Source organism: Homo sapiens, chromosome 6 (assembly GCF_000001405.40).
Source record: "Homo sapiens chromosome 6, GRCh38.p14 Primary Assembly".
NCBI classification, from domain to species: Eukaryota; Metazoa; Chordata; class Mammalia; order Primates; family Hominidae; genus Homo; species Homo sapiens.
In genome coordinates this window covers 137133687-137150573 of record NC_000006.12, presented here as the reverse complement: position 1 = coordinate 137150573, position 16887 = coordinate 137133687, and the positions used below count along the sequence as shown (strand labels likewise).

Below are 16887 nucleotides of genomic sequence, written 5' to 3'. Positions count from 1 at the left end.
TTCTATTTAAATTGGGATAGTGTTGAGTTAAGAAGGGTTTGTGTGTTTTCTGTATGACCTTTCTCCCTAAAAAAAAAAAAAAAAAAAAAAAAATCAGAAAAGAAAAGAAAAGAAAAAAGCTTTAGACCAGGTCCTTTAAAAAGCCATTTTATTTCGGGGCCTCTTAGTAGAAGAATAAGAAACCCAGTCTATAGCTACTACTCTTGTTGATGCAATAGTGAGAAGAATCACCCACTCAGCTGCCTCCTCACCCCCAGGCTTGCGCTCTCCCACCACAGCTCCTAAGAACTTCTGAAGAACATATTTCAAAAAAGCACGTTTCTAGTTCCTCAAGACAGCATGTTTGTGGCATCTGTGATATAGACTAATGAGCCAGCTGCATGCATTGCCTCCTCTGACACCTGTTTTTGAGCAGCAGGATGTTATCTTAGATTAAGAAGTTCTGATTTATGGTGTCTATCTAGAGACAAAGCAAGATTTTAAAAATAAAATAAAACAAAGTAAACTTTCTTCAGTTAAAAGCAGCGTTTGATACTTAGCGAGATTTCAGTATTATTTGACCCTAGAATTACTTGGATTAAAAATAGATGTGAAGGCCAGGTGTGTTGGCTCCATGCCTGTAATCCCAGCACTTTGGGAGGCCGAGGTAGGAGGATCACTTGAGGCAAAGAATAGAGCATTTCAAGCAAGGGACCAGCATTTGCAAAGGCCCTCTGGCATAGCAAACTCAAGGGACTGAAAGATAACCAATATATTGAAGAAGAGCATGCAGGAAGGAGTCCATAATGAGATGGGACTGGAAAGGTAGGCAGGTACAAGAATTTTTTAAGGAGTTGTGACTTCCTCCAGAAAAACATAATTTTATTTAGGAGCCATATGATCAGACTTGTGTATAGAAAAGATCATTTTGACTATATTTTGGGGAACAGGTTGGATGCAGATAAGTGAAGTAGCAGGTTACTAATAATAGTCTACAGGAGACCGAATTTGGCTTATGAAAAGGACTAGAGAAAATTTATTCCTGGAGGGACATTTAGTAAGCAACATTGGCAGGACCAGGTGATAGATCGGATATAATGGTGAAGAGGACATGTCAAAGATGACCTCTAAGTTTCTTGCATGCATAATTAGATGAATTGCTGAGATCTTTTTGATGGGGTTTGATGAAAAAGACCAGTTTGGTGGGATGCAAGGTAATAGAGATTATGAGTTTGGTTTTGAATATGTTAAGCTTAATATGCTTTTAAGAGATCCAGGGGACATATCTCTTCAGATCCAAGACTCAAAGTAAAGTCTTTATTAGAGACAAAAATTTGTGAGTCATTTCATGCATACAGTACAGTGGACATTGATAGGATTGCCTAGGGAGAGAGTAGTGAGTGAGAGGCAGTTTTGAGTAAGACCAGATATTGAGGGACTTTCACCCAAAGATGCCTGAGTAAGAAAAATCTTAAAAGGAGACTGAGAAGGAATAGCCAAAGAGGTAGGAGGAAATCTGTGGGCTGATATGTTCATGAATAGTGCGGGAAGGTAATATTTCAAGGAGAGAGCTGTTAAAGAGTAAAGTGCTATGAGGTCAAATAATCTTGACTTGGTCTTGTAACACAATCACAATCCAGTGAATGGGTCAAGAAACTTGCAACTGATTGCAAAACTGATTTTGCAATCAATTGCAAAATCTAGCATCACAGATCATAAGCCAGGAGCCCTGTGATGTCCGCAGCTGACTCACTGATAGGACAATGCCTGAAATATGTGCCTCACTACAAAAGGGACATGTTTATTTAAAGTTAACTATCCCATTATTCCAATATAGTTGGAAAGTGCTTTAAAAACTTATGGTTCCAAATTAAATAGCCTGGGAGTAGGAAACTCTCTTCTTCTAAAACACTTAGAAATTCTGGATAAAACACATTCTCCAAACTCCACAGAGGGGCAAAAATAAAAATAAAGGGAATCCTTGGGGGCCAAAACAAAGTAAACGGAAATCAAAGGGGAACCAGAAGACCAACACAGTGACTGCCCCAGCTGCCCTGAAGGCATTTGCTGGATGTGGTAACTAGACCCTAAGTGGTAACAGCCACTCCCAGGACAAAAGACAAGGTTTTAGGCCAGCACAAGGCAGGGAGTTAGAACTAATACCCCTACAAAAGTCTTAGAACCTCCAAGGGCTACACTGTCAATAAAAAGTCAGACTAGCCTGGATGTGGTGGCATGCACCTGTAATCTCAGCTACTCAGGAAGCTGAAGGAGAATCACTTGAGTACAGGAGTTTGAGCCCAGCCTGGGCAACATAATGAGATCCTGTCTCAAAAAAAAACCCAAAACCAACCAACCAAACAAACAAACAAAAGTCAGATTAAGAAAAGCCCTTCCAATAAACAGAGGAAAGTAATTTGTATGTTTCCATCTTTATTCTGCTAAGAATCTAACACTCCCTACATTTATAAAGGTTCGAGATTCAAATACATATGCAATTTTCTTTTTTATTTTTGTTTTTTGACATGGGTTTCACTATGCCACACAAGCTATAGTGCAGTGGCATGATCATAGCTCACTGCAGCCTCGGCCTCCCTGGGCTCAGGTGATCCTCCCACCATGCTGATTTGTCATTATACATAATGCGTCTGTATATAATACATTCCTTTGATGATTTGTCAAATTTTTATGTTTTTTCTTCAGCAAAAATAGATCCTCCAGTCATGAATATAACCCAAGTCAATGGCTCTTTGTTGGTAATTCTCCATGCTCCAAATTTACCATATAGATACCAAAAGGAAAAAAATGTATCTATAGAAGATTACTATGAACTACTATACCGAGTTTTTATAATTAACAATTCACTAGAAAAGGTAAGTTCAGATGAATAGATATATTTAGAGTTTTTTTCTTTTGTTTATTTAACCAATATTGTGGTCATATGAGATGTCCTCTTCTGCTACTCTGCCTCCTCTTACTTTTCCTTATCTTTAATTTCTTCTTACTCTCAGCCATCATTGATCAACGGTTGGTGGTGGCATCACCATCAGAATGTGTGTGTGCCCTTTCCATCCTCCGGTTTGTCTCTACAGTCTTCCCTGCATATCTAAAGATTGGTATTAACCGTATTTAATTGCATGTGACTGCCACAAATATTCATTTTTACGGGCTTTGCACACCTTATTTATTTATTTATTTATTTATTTATTTATTTATTTATTATGTATTTTATTTTTAGACCAGGTGTCACTCTGTCACCCAGGCTGGAGTACAGTGGTGATCATAGCTCACTGTAGCCTCTAACTTCTGGGCTTAAGTGGTCCTCCTTCTTCAGCCTCCTGAGTAGCTGGGACTAGAAGCATGCCCATCACATCCAGCTTTTTTTTTTTTTTTTTTTTTTTTTTTTTTGTAGAGGCAAGGTCTCACTATGTTGCCCAGGCTGGTCTCAAACTCCTGGCCTCAACCAATCCTCCAGCCTTGGCCTCCCAAAGTGCTGGGATTGCAGGCATAAGCCACCTCCCCGGCCTCACACCTTATTTTAAAATAGCTTTTGAATCACATGATTATTTTTGTGCCAGTTTTGCTGCGATTTTTTTTTTGAGACAGGGTCTGACTCTGTCACCCAGGCTGGGGTGCAGCAGTGCAATCACAGCTCACGGCAGCCTCAACATCCTGGGCTCAAATGATCCTCCCACCTCAGCCTCCCAAGTAGCTGGGACTACAGGTGCATGCCACCATGCCCAGCTATGTTTTTTTGTACTTTTAGTAGGGACAGGCTCTGGCCATGTTGCCCGGGCTGGTCTTAAACTCCTGGGATCAACTGATCTGCCTGCCTTGGCCTCCCAAACTGCTGGCATTACAAACATGAGCCACCAGGCCTGGCCTTGCAGTGGTATTCTAATCCACCATCGGTGCTTCTGTCTGGATTTGGTGGATAATTGAATTTGTTCCTTTTTTGGTGCCATCTAAGATGAGGGGTTTTTGTCGTAAGGAGCAGAAACCACAGTTTAACTTGTTTAGAAACAAAAGAGGAGGGGAGGGATAATTAGGAGATAGGCAAGCAATCTCAGGGACAGAGGCAGGACGTAGAGTGCCGGCAGCCTTAGTGGTGACTGGGAAGGGAAACGGAAGTGAGTTCTAAGGGATCCTGCTCTGTCTCTCAGACTTTCTGTCTCTATGTGGCCACAGTTTCATGCCTGCAGTTATCTCTGCTCATCTCGCTGCACATCATTCTCACTGCACACTTCAAATTCTTAAAAAGAAGGCCAGGTGGGGTGGTTCATGCCTGTAATCCCAGCACTTTGGGAGGCTGAGGCAGGCAAATCATTTGAGGTCAGGAGTTCAAGACCTGCCTGGTCAACATGGTGAAACTCCATCTCTACTGAAAATACAAAAATTAGCCAGGCGTGGTGGTATGCGTCTGCAATCCCAGCTACTCAGGAGGCTGAGGCACGAGAATCTCTTGAACCTGAGAGGCAGAGGTTGCAGTGAGCCGAGATGGTGACACTGCACTCCAGGCTGGATGATGGAGTGAAACTGTATCTCAAAAAACAAACAAAATTCTTAAAAACAAGACTCTGACCATGGGGTCAACCAGCCAACAGCCCTCAAGGAGAAGTCAAGTTGCACCTACACAGCCACTTGCCTTGTCCCTTTACCAGGCTATGGCCTAGGACTCTAGAAAAGAAGGATGTGTCTGGGAAGAAACCCCACAACCCATCTACTGCTGTGACCATGTACAACTTGTTAATTTAAACAAAAATGCAGCTGTGACTTAATGGCAGCCATTTACCAACTGATTATTTTCTCTCTCGTGTGTAGGAGCAAAAGGTTTATGAAGGGGCTCACAGAGCGGTTGAAATTGAAGCTCTAACACCACACTCCAGCTACTGTGTAGTGGCTGAAATATATCAGCCCATGTTAGACAGAAGAAGTCAGAGAAGTGAAGAGAGATGTGTGGAAATTCCATGACTTGTGGAATTTGGCATTCAGCAATGTGGAAATTCTAAAGCTCCCTGAGAACAGGATGACTCGTGTTTGAAGGATCTTATTTAAAATTGTTTTTGTATTTTCTTAAAGCAATATTCACTGTTACACCTTGGGGACTTCTTTGTTTATCCATTCTTTTATCCTTTATATTTCATTTGTAAACTATATTTGAACGACATTCCCCCCGAAAAATTGAAATGTAAAGATGAGGCAGAGAATAAAGTGTTCTATGAAATTCAGAACTTTATTTCTGAATGTAACATCCCTAATAACAACCTTCATTCTTCTAATACAGCAAAATAAAAATTTAACAACCAAGGAATAGTATTTAAGAAAATGTTGAAATAATTTTTTTAAAATAGCATTACAGACTGAGGCGGTCCTGAAGCAATGGTTTTTCACTCTCTTATTGAGCCAATTAAATTGACATTGCTTTGACAATTTAAAACTTCTATAAAGGTGAATATTTTTCATACATTTCTATTTTATATGAATATACTTTTTATATATTTATTATTATTAAATATTTCTACTTAATGAATCAAAATTTTGTTTTAAAGTCTACTTTATGTAAATAAGAACAGGTTTTGGGGAAAAAAATCTTATGATTTCTGGATTGATATCTGAATTAAAACTATCAACAACAAGGAAGTCTGCTCTGTACAATTGTCCCTCATTTAAAAGATATATTAAGCTTTTCTTTTCTGTTTGTTTTTGTTTTGTTTAGTTTTTAATCCTGTCTTAGAAGAACTTATCTTTATTCTCAAAATTAAATGTAATTTTTTTAGTGACAAAGAAGAAAGGAAACCTCATTACTCAATCCTTCTGGCCAAGAGTGTCTTGCTTGTGGCGCCTTCCTCATCTCTATATAGGAGGATCCCATGAATGATGGTTTATTGGGAACTGCTGGGGTCGACCCCATACAGAGAACTCAGCTTGAAGCTGGAAGCACACAGTGGGTAGCAGGAGAAGGACCGGTGTTGGTAGGTGCCTACAGAGACTATAGAGCTAGACAAAGCCCTCCAAACTGGCCCCTCCTGCTCACTGCCTCTCCTGAGTAGAAATCTGGTGACCTAAGGCTCAGTGTGGTCAACAGAAAGCTGCCTTCTTCACTTGAGGCTAAGTCTTCATATATGTTTAAGGTTGTCTTTCTAGTGAGGAGATACATATCAGAGAACATTTGTACAATTCCCCATGAAAATTGCTCCAAAGTTGATAACAATATAGTCGGTGCTTCTAGTTATATGCAAGTACTCAGTGATAAATGGATTAAAAAATATTCAGAAATGTATTGGGGGGTGGAGGAGAATAAGAGGCAGAGCAAGAGCTAGAGAATTGGTTTCCTTGCTTCCCTGTATGCTCAGAAAACATTGATTTGAGCATAGACGCAGAGACTGAAAAAAAAATTTACTTTGATCTCTGTTTTTGAATTCTTATTATTTATATTTTGCTTACTACCTTTTTTGCCTTTTGTCCTTTTGTGGAGAGGGCGATGAATTAAGAGTAGTGGGGTGGGTGGCGAGTAAGTAAAATTTCAAATAGCATTTTAGTGAATGCAATTCAGTAGTCCTGAAGCCTGACTTAATAAAACAAAATTCATTTATGGTTGTTTCATGAAAGTTATTAGATAGGATCAAGTTTTGTTTGTATATTGTTTGCCTTGCTCTGTTTTTGCTTTTGTGCTTAGGCAAGTGCAAAATACTCTATGGAAATCATAATTGTCATCTTCTTCATGGTGTTAGGGATATATTGTCACATGATTTCAATAAATCCTTTTTTTGCTTTACATTTTGGAATATTTGTTATTTGAGCTTTTAAAAGAAGAACACAATGTTTAAGTCTGCCAGATGAAATTCCAGTTAAACATCTTAGGCCCACACGAAGTTCCAGCCAGGAAGGAGCAAACAGTTTTGAGCCCGACTGAGCTTGCCCTGTGATCAAATGCAATCCCAGTCTTACAGCTGCTCAGGCCAAAAGCGTTGAGGTTATCTTTGTCTCCCCGCTTTCTTTCACATCATATATATTCAATGCACCAATAAATTCTATTGATCTACCTCCAAAATACAACACTTCTCAGAACTACCTATTCCAGGCCACCATCATTTCTCCTCTGGATGGTCACTATGGTTACCTCATTGGTGTCCCCGCTCTGCTTGCCTCCCTCCAGTTTTGTCTTAACAAGGTGGCCAGCATGAGCCTTGGAACATAAATCAGATCATGTCACTTTCCTGCTCTAAAACCGCCAATAGCTTCCCATCTCATAAGGGTAAAAACCAAAGTCTTTATAATGGCCTCCAAGGCGCTGTATGATCTGTTTCCTTTCCTCATAATCTCCCAGGCCTCACTCCCTAATTCTCACCTTCCTCACTCTTCTCCAGCACACAGACCCCTTGCTTGCCCTCAAATACAAATGCCCTAGGCTTCTGGGCCTTTGCACCTGTTATTTGCTGGAAGGCTGTACCCCCAGGTTTCCATAGATTCACTTCCTCACCTCTGTCAGATCTTTGCTGGAAGACTGCCTTATCAGTGAGGCTAACTTCACTATTCCATTTAAAATTGCAACCTACCCTCTGCAATGATCTATACCACTCAGTTTCCTTCCCAGCACTTAAATCACCTGACATGCTGTAGTTACTTGTTGACCTTGTTTATTGTTTATCTTCCTCCTCTTCCACTAGAATGTAAAGGCAGGTTTCTGGTTCTTTTTCCACAGCCATATCTTCATTATCTATAACAGAACTTGGTACCTAGCCGACAATTAGTATTTGTTGGATAAATTAATGAAGCAAGAGTAGAAGCACTGAGAGCATGAGGGGGTGGGTCAGGAGATCAGGAGTGAGGCTTTTCTGGTAATTTCTTACAACTTGCTGCCTCATCTTCCTCCATGGGTAGGTGTGGGAAAGGGGGCCATTTTTTACCAGGATGCAGACACCAAGATGTGCAGAGACCAGATCTCGTGCAGTCCTGGTGCCACAGCAGAGAGTTATTCTATAATCATCATTCTTCCTCCAACTGAGTGTCACTTCCTAGGTATTGTTTCTTCTCCCTGGCTGGTGGTCAAGTCCAGAAGTCCTGTCCCAGAATTTCTTCAAAAGGAGAGAGGGAGTAAAATTGGGTATGGAAAAAAGACTCACATTGACAAAAAAGAATTTTAGAGTCTTCTCTAAAATGTTGCGGCAAGTAGATAAAACCATGAAAAACCAGGATGCCCTATGTGATTGTTAATATTAAGTGTCAACTTGATTGGATTGAAGGATGCAAAGTATTATTCCTGAATGTGTCTATGAGGATGTTGCCAATAGAGATTAATATTTGAGTCAGTGACTGGGAGAGGCAGACCCACCCTCTATCTCAGTGGGCACCATCTGAGCAGCTGCCAGCGCAGCTAGAGTAAAGCAGGTAGAAGAAGATGGAAAGAACAGACCTGCCGAGTCTTCTGGCCTCCACCTTTCTCCCTTGCTGGATGCTTCCTGCCCTCGAATATCAGACTCCAAGTTCTTCAGCTTTTGGACTCCTGCACTTACATCAGTGGCTTACCAGGGGTTCTCAGGCCTTCAGCCACAGACTGAAGGCTGCACTGTCACTTTCGAGGTTTTGAGACTCGGACTGGCTTCCCTGCTCCTCAGTTTGCACACGGCCTATTGTGGGACTTCACTTTGTGATTGTGTGAGTCAATACTCCTTAATAAACTCCCTTTCATATATACATCTATCCTATTAGTCCTGTCCCTCAGGAAACCCTGACTAATACACCCTATAGGCAGATGAGCCTATTTTACCTGGGGTTAGATCAAAGTTGTTTGAGGGAAGGGGCAACAGAAGAGAGCTAACTTCTCATGTGCCAATGAGACCGAAGGAAAGATTCTAATGGACACACAAGATGCAATACAGAAATCTGGAGAAATGGTTCAATAGGGAACACACAGCTCCTAGTGAGGATTAAGCACCCCCAGTCCCTACCTTCCCCTGTGAAGACAGGGCTGTGGCTACTGCCGGTTGCTTGGAATAATGCTCTGGCAGGTGAGAGGCCCTCTTTGCCATCCTCACAGGGATTTGCAGCCCCTGGGTTCTCCCTCACCCATCTTTTGAGGGATCTCGCCAAAGGTCTGCCTGCTCACAGGAGCAAGCAAATGGTGACAAACAGTCTCACCGCAATCCTGCAAACTGGCTGTGAGAGAGGATACAGTGACGGTAGTTTCCTCAGGCATATTTCTCATCAGGTTTAGGCCTTGGCCTGCCCAAGGTGACACTTGCACATACTCTGTTTTCTCTTTCTTCATACTGCCTACAAGTCATGATTGTTTCTACTTTACAGGTGAGCCTCTGATGGGTTAAGTGATTTGCCAAGGTCTGGAAACCATATCTGTCTAATTCCACAGCTTATTCTCTTTCTATCAGACCCTTTAGAACTTCCTCTCAGCCTTTGTACATAGAGATTTCCCTTTAGTCTCTTAATTAAAATTCCTTTTTCAAATGTCAGTTTTGCCCTGTTGAACTCTGGGACTCTTCTTCCCCTTTAATGTCAGTATGTTGAAGGGTGAGTATTAAGAGAGCATGGGACAGGGAGGCCTGATAAAGCAGCTGTTCAGCTGGTGGGTGGCTGTCTGCTCTCAGGGACAAAGAAGAGCAGTGCCTTAAAGAGCCTATTTGTTGGCCAGGCGCGGTGGCTCATGCCTGTAATCTCAGCACTTTGGGAGGCCGAGGCGGGCGGATCACGAGGTCAAGAGATTGAGACCATCCGGGCCAACGTGGCAAAACCCCGTCTCTACTAAAAATACAAAAATTAGCTGGTGTGGTGGCATGCACCTCTAATCCCAGCTGCTCGGGAGGCTGAGGCAGGAGAATTGCTTGAATCCGGGAGGCGGAGGCTGCAATGAGCCAAGATCATGCCACTGCACTCCAGCCTAGTGACAGAGCAAGACTGTGTCTCAAAAAAAAAAAAAAAAAAAGAATCCATTTATCCAGCATGAATGGAGGTACATATGGATGCTCCTCAGCTTATTGTGAGGTTACATCCTGATGAATCCATCGTAAGTCAAAAAACCTTAAGTCGAACCTTATTAAGTTGGAGGCCATATGTACTCGCCAGAAAGAGCTCTGAAGTCTACACAATTACTGGAAAACATTCACTCATTGGTAAATTCCATATCTAACTAGCTTTTTTAAAAAAAAATTGTATTGTGTATATTTAAGGTATAAAACGTGATGTTATAAGATGCATGTGTGTAGTAAAATGGTTACTATAGTGGAACAATTTATTAATCTTCTCAGTTACCATTTGATATAGTTTGTCCCCTCCAAACCTCATGTTGAAATGTGATCCCCAGTGCTGGAGGTGAGGCTTGGTGGGAGGTGTTTGAGTCCTGGGGGTGGATGTTTCATGAATGGCTTGCTGCCCTCTTTGCAGTAATGAATGGGTTCTTGCTCTGTTTGTTCACATGAAAGCTGGTTCTTAAACATCCTGGGACCTCACCCCTTGCCCTCGCTCCCACCTTCATCATGCAACACACCTGCTTCCCTTCACCATGCGACACACCTGCTTCCCTTCACCTTCCACCATGATTGAAAGCTTCCTGAAGTCTTCACCAGAAGCAGAAGCTGCACGGTTTGTGGAACCATGAGCCTCTTGTACGGTTTGTAGAACGGTGAGCCAAATCAATCTCTTTTCTTTATAAATTACCTAATCTCAGGTATTCCTTTACAGCAATGCAAAATGAGCTAATATACCATGTTTCTCCTTGTGGCAAACAGCTATAATATACTTAGTTTAGAAAAAATCCTGTATATAACACTATTATTAATTTTAATCCACATGTTGCTGTACAACACATTTTTTGACTTGTTTATTCTATATATTTGCTACTTTGTAACCTTTTACCTAGATCTCCCCATTCTCCCCTCCCAGACTCCAGCACTGGTAACCCTGTTTCATTCTCTCTATATATTTGATCTTTTGGGAAGAATACCACATATAAGTGAAATTATACAATATTTTTCTTTTTGTCTCTGGCTTATTTCTCCTAGTATAATGTCCTCCAGGTCAATCCATGTTGTGGAAAATAGCAAGATTTCCTCATTTTCCTCTTTTTAAAGGCTGAATAATATTCCATTGTATGTACATATCATAGTTTATCCATTGAAGGACATCTAGTTTGTTTCCATATCTTGGCTATTGTCAATAATGCTGCAGTTAACATAGGAATACAGATATCTTCACGAGGTAATGACTTTATTTCCTTTGGGTATATACCCAGAAGATTAACTGCATATAGTAGTTCTATTTTTAATTTCTTTAGGAGCCTCTGTATTATTTTGCATAATGGCTGCATCAATCTCCATTCCCACATGCACAAGGCTTCCTTTTTCCCTCTCATTAATATTGTTATCTTTTATCTTTTGATAACAGCTATCCTAACAGGTGAGAGGTGGTATCTCATAGTGGTTTTAATTTCATTTCTCTGATAATTAGTAATGTTGGACACCTTTTCAACTAATACTTCCAATGTATCTGCTGTCCATTCTTATGTCATTTTAGATAAATGTCTATTCAAGTCATTTGTCCATTTTTTACTGGGTTATATGTTTTCTTGTTATTGATTTGTATGAGTTCTTTATAAATCTTCAATATCAACTCCTTATTTGATATAAAGTGTGCAATTTTTTTTTCACAATCTGTAGGTTGTCTTTTCATTCTGTTGTCTCATTTATTGTGCAGGAGCTTTTTAGTTTAATGTAGACCCATTTATTTATTTTTGCTGTCGTAGCCTGAGCTTTTGACTTGATATCCAAAACACAAAAGAAATCATTGCCAAGGCCACTGTAAAGGAGTTTTTCCTCTGAGTTTTTTTCCTAAGAGTTTTTTGCTTTAAGGTCTACTGTTTAGGCCTTTTATCCATTCTGAGTTGTTTTGTGTATGGGGTAAGAGTCCAATTTTATTCTTTTGCATATGGAAATCCAGTTTTCATAGCACCACTTATTGAAGAGGCTGTCCTTTCCTCAATTGTTCCTTTTTCATGTCCTTGTCAAAAATTAGTTGACCATATATGTTTGGATTTGTTTATGGGCTTCCTACTCTGTTCCACTGGTCTATGTGTCCATTTTTTCCCAGTAGCATTTTATTTTGATTACTATAGCTTTGTAACATAATTTTAAATCAAAAAGTGTGATATCTCCAACTTAGTTTTTCCTCTCAGGATTGTTCTGGCTATTTAGGATCTTTTGTGATTTTACACAAATTTTAGGATTTGTCTATTTCTGTGAAGAATGACATTGAGACTTTGATCAAGATTGCATTGCATCTATATATTGCTTTAGATAGTATGGACATTTTTAACAATATTCATTCTTCTCATCCATGTGCATGGACTATCTTTCCATTTATTTGTGTCCTCTCCAATTGCATTCATTAATGTTTTATCATTTTCAATGTAGAGGTATTTTACCACCTTGGTTAACTTTGTTCCTAAGCATTTTTTTGATACTATCATAAATGGGATTATTTTCTTGATTTCTTTTTCAGCTGGGTCACTATTTGTGGATAGAAATGCCATGGATTTTCGCATGTTGACTTTGTATCCTGCAGCTTCACTGAGTTCATGTATTAGATCTAATAGTTTTTTGGTGGAGTCTTTGGGGTTTTCTACTTACAAGATCATGCCATCTGCAAATAGAGATAATTTTACTTCTTTCTTTCTGGATTGGATACCTTTTATTTCTTGAGAGTACTTTCAGTACTATGTGGAACAAAAGTTAGAGTGGGCATCCTTGCCTTGTACCAGATCTTAGAAAAAAAGCTTTGAGTTTCTTCACATTGATTATGATACTAGCTGTGGGTTTTTCATAAATGGCCTTTATTATGTTGAGGAAATTTCTTATACCTAAACTGTTAAGAGTTTTTATCAAAAAAAGATGTTGAACTTTGTTGAATGCTTTCCCTGCATCTATTGATATGATCATGTGGATTGTGTCTTTCTACCTGTTAATGTTATGTATCACACTGATTGACTTGCACTGATTGACTTGCATATGCTAAACTAGCCTTCCATGCCAGGGATAAGTCTCACTTGATCATGAGGTATAATATGTTTGGTCTGTTGTTAAATTTGATTTGCTAATATTTTATTAAGGATTTTTGCATCAATGTGCATCCGTGCTACTGGCCTTTACTTTTCTTTTTGTGTGGTATCTTTGCCTGGCTTAGGTATCGAGATGATGTTGGCTTCATAAAATGTGTTAGGAAGTACTCCTTCCAGCTCTGTTTTCGGAAGAGCTTAAGAAATATTGGGGTTCATTCTTCTTTGAGAGTTTGGTAGAATTCAGCTTTAAAGCCGTCAACTGGTCCTGGGTTTGCTTTGTTGGGATGTTTTTAATAACTACCTTAATCTCTTTGTTTATTATTATATTCAGGCTTTCTATTTCTTCCTGATTCAACCTTGGTAGGTTGTATTTGTCTAAGAATGTATTCATTTCCTACAGGTTATCAAATTTGCTGGCATATAATTGATCACAATAGTCCCTTATGATCCTTTTTATTTCTGAGGCATCTGTTGTAATGTTTCCACTTTCATTTCTGACTTTACATATTTGTCTTATTTCTTTTTTTCTTAGTGAGTCTGCCTATGGGTTTGTGAAATTTTTTTTTCAAAAAAATTTTAACCACTTTTCTATTCTCTATTTTATTTATCTCTATTCTCATCTTTATTATTTCCTTCTTTCTGCTAAATTTGGTTTTAGTTTGTTCTTTTTTCTAGTTCCTTGAGGCACAATGTTAAGCTGCTTATTTGGGATTTTTCTTACTTTTTAACACAGGTACTTTTTGCTGTAATCTTCTGCCCTCCTAGAACTGCTTTGGCTGCAATCCACAGGTTTTAGTATGTTATGTTTCCATTGTCATTTATCTCAAGATTTTTAAAAATTTCCCCTTTGACTCATTGGTTGTTCAGGAACAAATGGTTTAATTTCCATGTATTTGTAAATTTTTCAAAATTCTTCCTGTTATTGATTTCTAGTTTCATACCATTGTGTTTGGAAACAATATTTGATGTGATTTTCATCTTCTCAAATTTATTAACACTTGTTTTGTGGTCTACCATATGGTCTATCCTAGAGAATGTTCTATATGCACTAAGGAAGAATGTGTATTTGCTGCTGTTGGATGGAACATTTTATATTTTATATATATATATATACACACACACATACATATATATGTATATATATGTGTGTGTATGTATATATCTGTTATGTCCATTTTGTTTAAAGTGCAGTTCAATTCTAGCATTTACTTATCAATTTTTTGTCTGGTTGATCTGTTCATTGTTAAATGTAAAGTAATGGCGTCCCCTACTGTTACTGTCTATTTCTCTCTACTATTGTTATCTATTTCCCTCTTTATGTTCATTAACATTTGCTTTATGTATTTAGGTGCACCAATATTGGGTACATATATTTAAAATGATTATGTTTTCTTCATGAATTGAGCATTTTATCATTAAATAATGACCTTCTTTGTTTCTTGTAACAGTTTTTGACTTGAAGTCTATTTTATCTACTAAGTATAGCCACTCCTGCTCTCTTTTGGTTGCTATTTGCATGAAGTGTCTTCTTTCATCCCTTCTCTTTCAGCCTACATGTGTTTTTAAGACTCAAATGGGTCTCTTGTAGGCACCATATAATTAGATCTTGTTTTTTTAATCCATTCAGCCACTCCATGTCATTTGATTGGAGAATTGAATTCATTTATAGTTAAAGTACTTATTAGTATGTAAGGACTAACTACTGCTTCTTGTTTATTGTTTTCTGGGTATTTTATAGATCCTTTGTTTTTTTCTTCTTCTCTTGTTTATCTTTGTAATTTGGTGATTTTAGTAGTGCTACATTTTTATTCCTTTGTCTTTATCTTTTATGTATCTGCCATTGCTTTTTACTTTGTAGTTACCCTGAAGCTTACATAGAATATGTTATAGTTATAATAGACTATATTATACTGATAACAACATAACTTCAGTTGCATACAATAGGCTTTTATTCTCCTCCCCCCCTCCAACACACATGATTTATATTTTTATGTCACAATGTACATCTTTTTATATTATGTACTTCTTAACAACTTATTATAGTTACCATTATTTTCAACTGTTTGACTTCTTTTAACCTTCATACCAGAGATATATATAATTTACAAGCACCATAACATTATTGTAATGTTCTGGGTTTGATGATATATTTACTTTTACGGTGAATTATATGTGTTCATACATTTTCACGTTAGTAATTACCGTCTTTTATCTCCACTTGAAGAGCTCCCTTGAGCATTTCTTTTCTAGTGCTGATGAATTCTCTCAACTTTTGCTTGTCTGGGAAAGGCTTTATTTCTCTTCCTTTCTGAAGGACAGTTTTGCTGGGTATCATGTTCTTGGCTGCCAGTTGTTTTCTTTCAGCACTTTGAATATATCATCCCATTCTCTTCTGGCCTGCAAGGTTTCTACTGAGAAATCTGTTGATAGTCTAGTGGTGATTTTTTAAATATGTGACCTTTTGCTTTTCTAGCACTGCTTTTAAAATTCTCTTTTAATAGTTATTTAATTTGGACAGTTTAATTATATTGTGTCTTGAAGAGAACCTACTTGGATATAATTTGTTTAGAGATTTTTAAGCTTCATGGATCTGAATGATAATACGTTTTCCAAAACTTGGAGGTTTTTCAGCAATTTTTTTATTAAATAAACTTTCCACTCCTATCTTTGCCTCTTCACCTTCTGAAATAAACATACTGCAAATGTTTGTTCACTTAGTGATGGCCCATATGCCCTCTAGGCTGTTCTCATTCTTTTTCATTCTTTTTTTTCTCTTTCTCTGACAGGGTAATTTCAAGAAACCTATATTCAAGTTTAGAGATTTTTTTTTCTTCTGCTTGATCTAGCCTGCTGTCAAAGTTCTCTATTGTATTTTTTATTTTATTCATTGAATTCTTCAGCTTCAAGATTTCTGTTTGGTTCTTTTTTAATAATATCTATCTCTTCGTTGAATTTCTCATTCAGATCATGATTTTTTCTGATTGTCTTGAATTGTCTATCTGTATTCTCTTGTATCTCACTAAATTTTCTTAAGATTATTATTTTGAAATCCTGTTTAGGCAATTTGTAAATTTCCTTTGCTGAGGGTCAGTTACTAGAGAATTACTGTGTTCTTTTGGTAATGTCATATTCTTTGCTTTTTCATGGTTCTTATGTCCCTGGGTTGATGTCTGCACATCTGGTGGAGCAATCACCTCTTCCAAACTCTACCAAGTGTTTTTCACAGGAAAAGACTTTCACCAGAACATGGGTCTTAGTGTGCCAGCTGAGAAGGGTATGGTGACTTTGTTTTTAAGTAGATGCAGTGGTATAGCCTCCATGCAGCTGCTTTAGCTGCAATCAACATCAATGATAACTGTGGGTGCCTTGGTGGCTTAGGCTGTAGGAGTTTGTAGTAAGCAGTGATAGTAGCATAGGCTGTTAAGGTCTTCAGTTACAAGTGCTTTGGGTGGCCTCTTGTTCTTGTTTTCCTCACAGCGGGGATTCTTAGTTGAGTGGATCTTTCTTGGTGTCAGGTCTGACACAACCTACAAGCAGCTGCAGTGGCCCTGGGTTCTGGGGCACAGATGCTCAAAGTGACTGTTGCACCAGGGCCCTGGGCTCAGGGTCTCATGAACCTATTAGGGCACCTGGGTCTTAAGGTACAGTTTCTCTCTCTTGAGTCATGGTTAGGTGCAGACTGCCCACAAAGCCGGGGCCTGTGACTCTGAGGCAGGGTACAGCTACAATTTTGGAACCAGAGCCAATAGGGCACAGTGGCAACTCAGGCCCTGGGGATGAGGCATCAGGCAGTGGTGACTCTGGACCCTGGGACAGTAGGACTAGGCAGTATCCCAGACCCTGTG

The 16887-nt window shown here is 38.8% G+C and overlaps 1 protein-coding gene across 3 annotated transcripts in view, besides 1 other annotated feature; it reads left to right on the top strand.

Moving 5' to 3' along the window:
* Nucleotides 1-6754, top strand: part of IL22RA2 (interleukin 22 receptor subunit alpha 2) — a 29825-nt gene extending 23071 nt beyond the window's left edge. For 2 of the 3 annotated variants that reach the window (NM_181309.2, NM_052962.3), the window contains 2 exons: nucleotides 2683-2852; nucleotides 4801-6754. In NM_181309.2, the coding sequence (NP_851826.1) occupies nucleotides 2683-2852; nucleotides 4801-4950 (320 nt within the window). In that variant the 3' untranslated portion in view covers nucleotides 4951-6754. The remainder of the gene's footprint in view (nucleotides 1-2682; nucleotides 2853-4800) is intronic. The other variant, NM_181310.2, reaches the window with a different exon arrangement.
* Nucleotides 7833-8002: an enhancer, noted in NCBI's record as "experimental_90362 CRE fragment used in MPRA reporter constructs". NCBI's record gives its function as "activates a minimal promoter by MPRAs in K562 erythroleukemia cells, with activity observed for the introgressed 6:137463794 variant allele {active_cell/tissue: K562}" and the evidence as "EXISTENCE:reporter gene assay evidence [ECO:0000049][PMID:34662402]".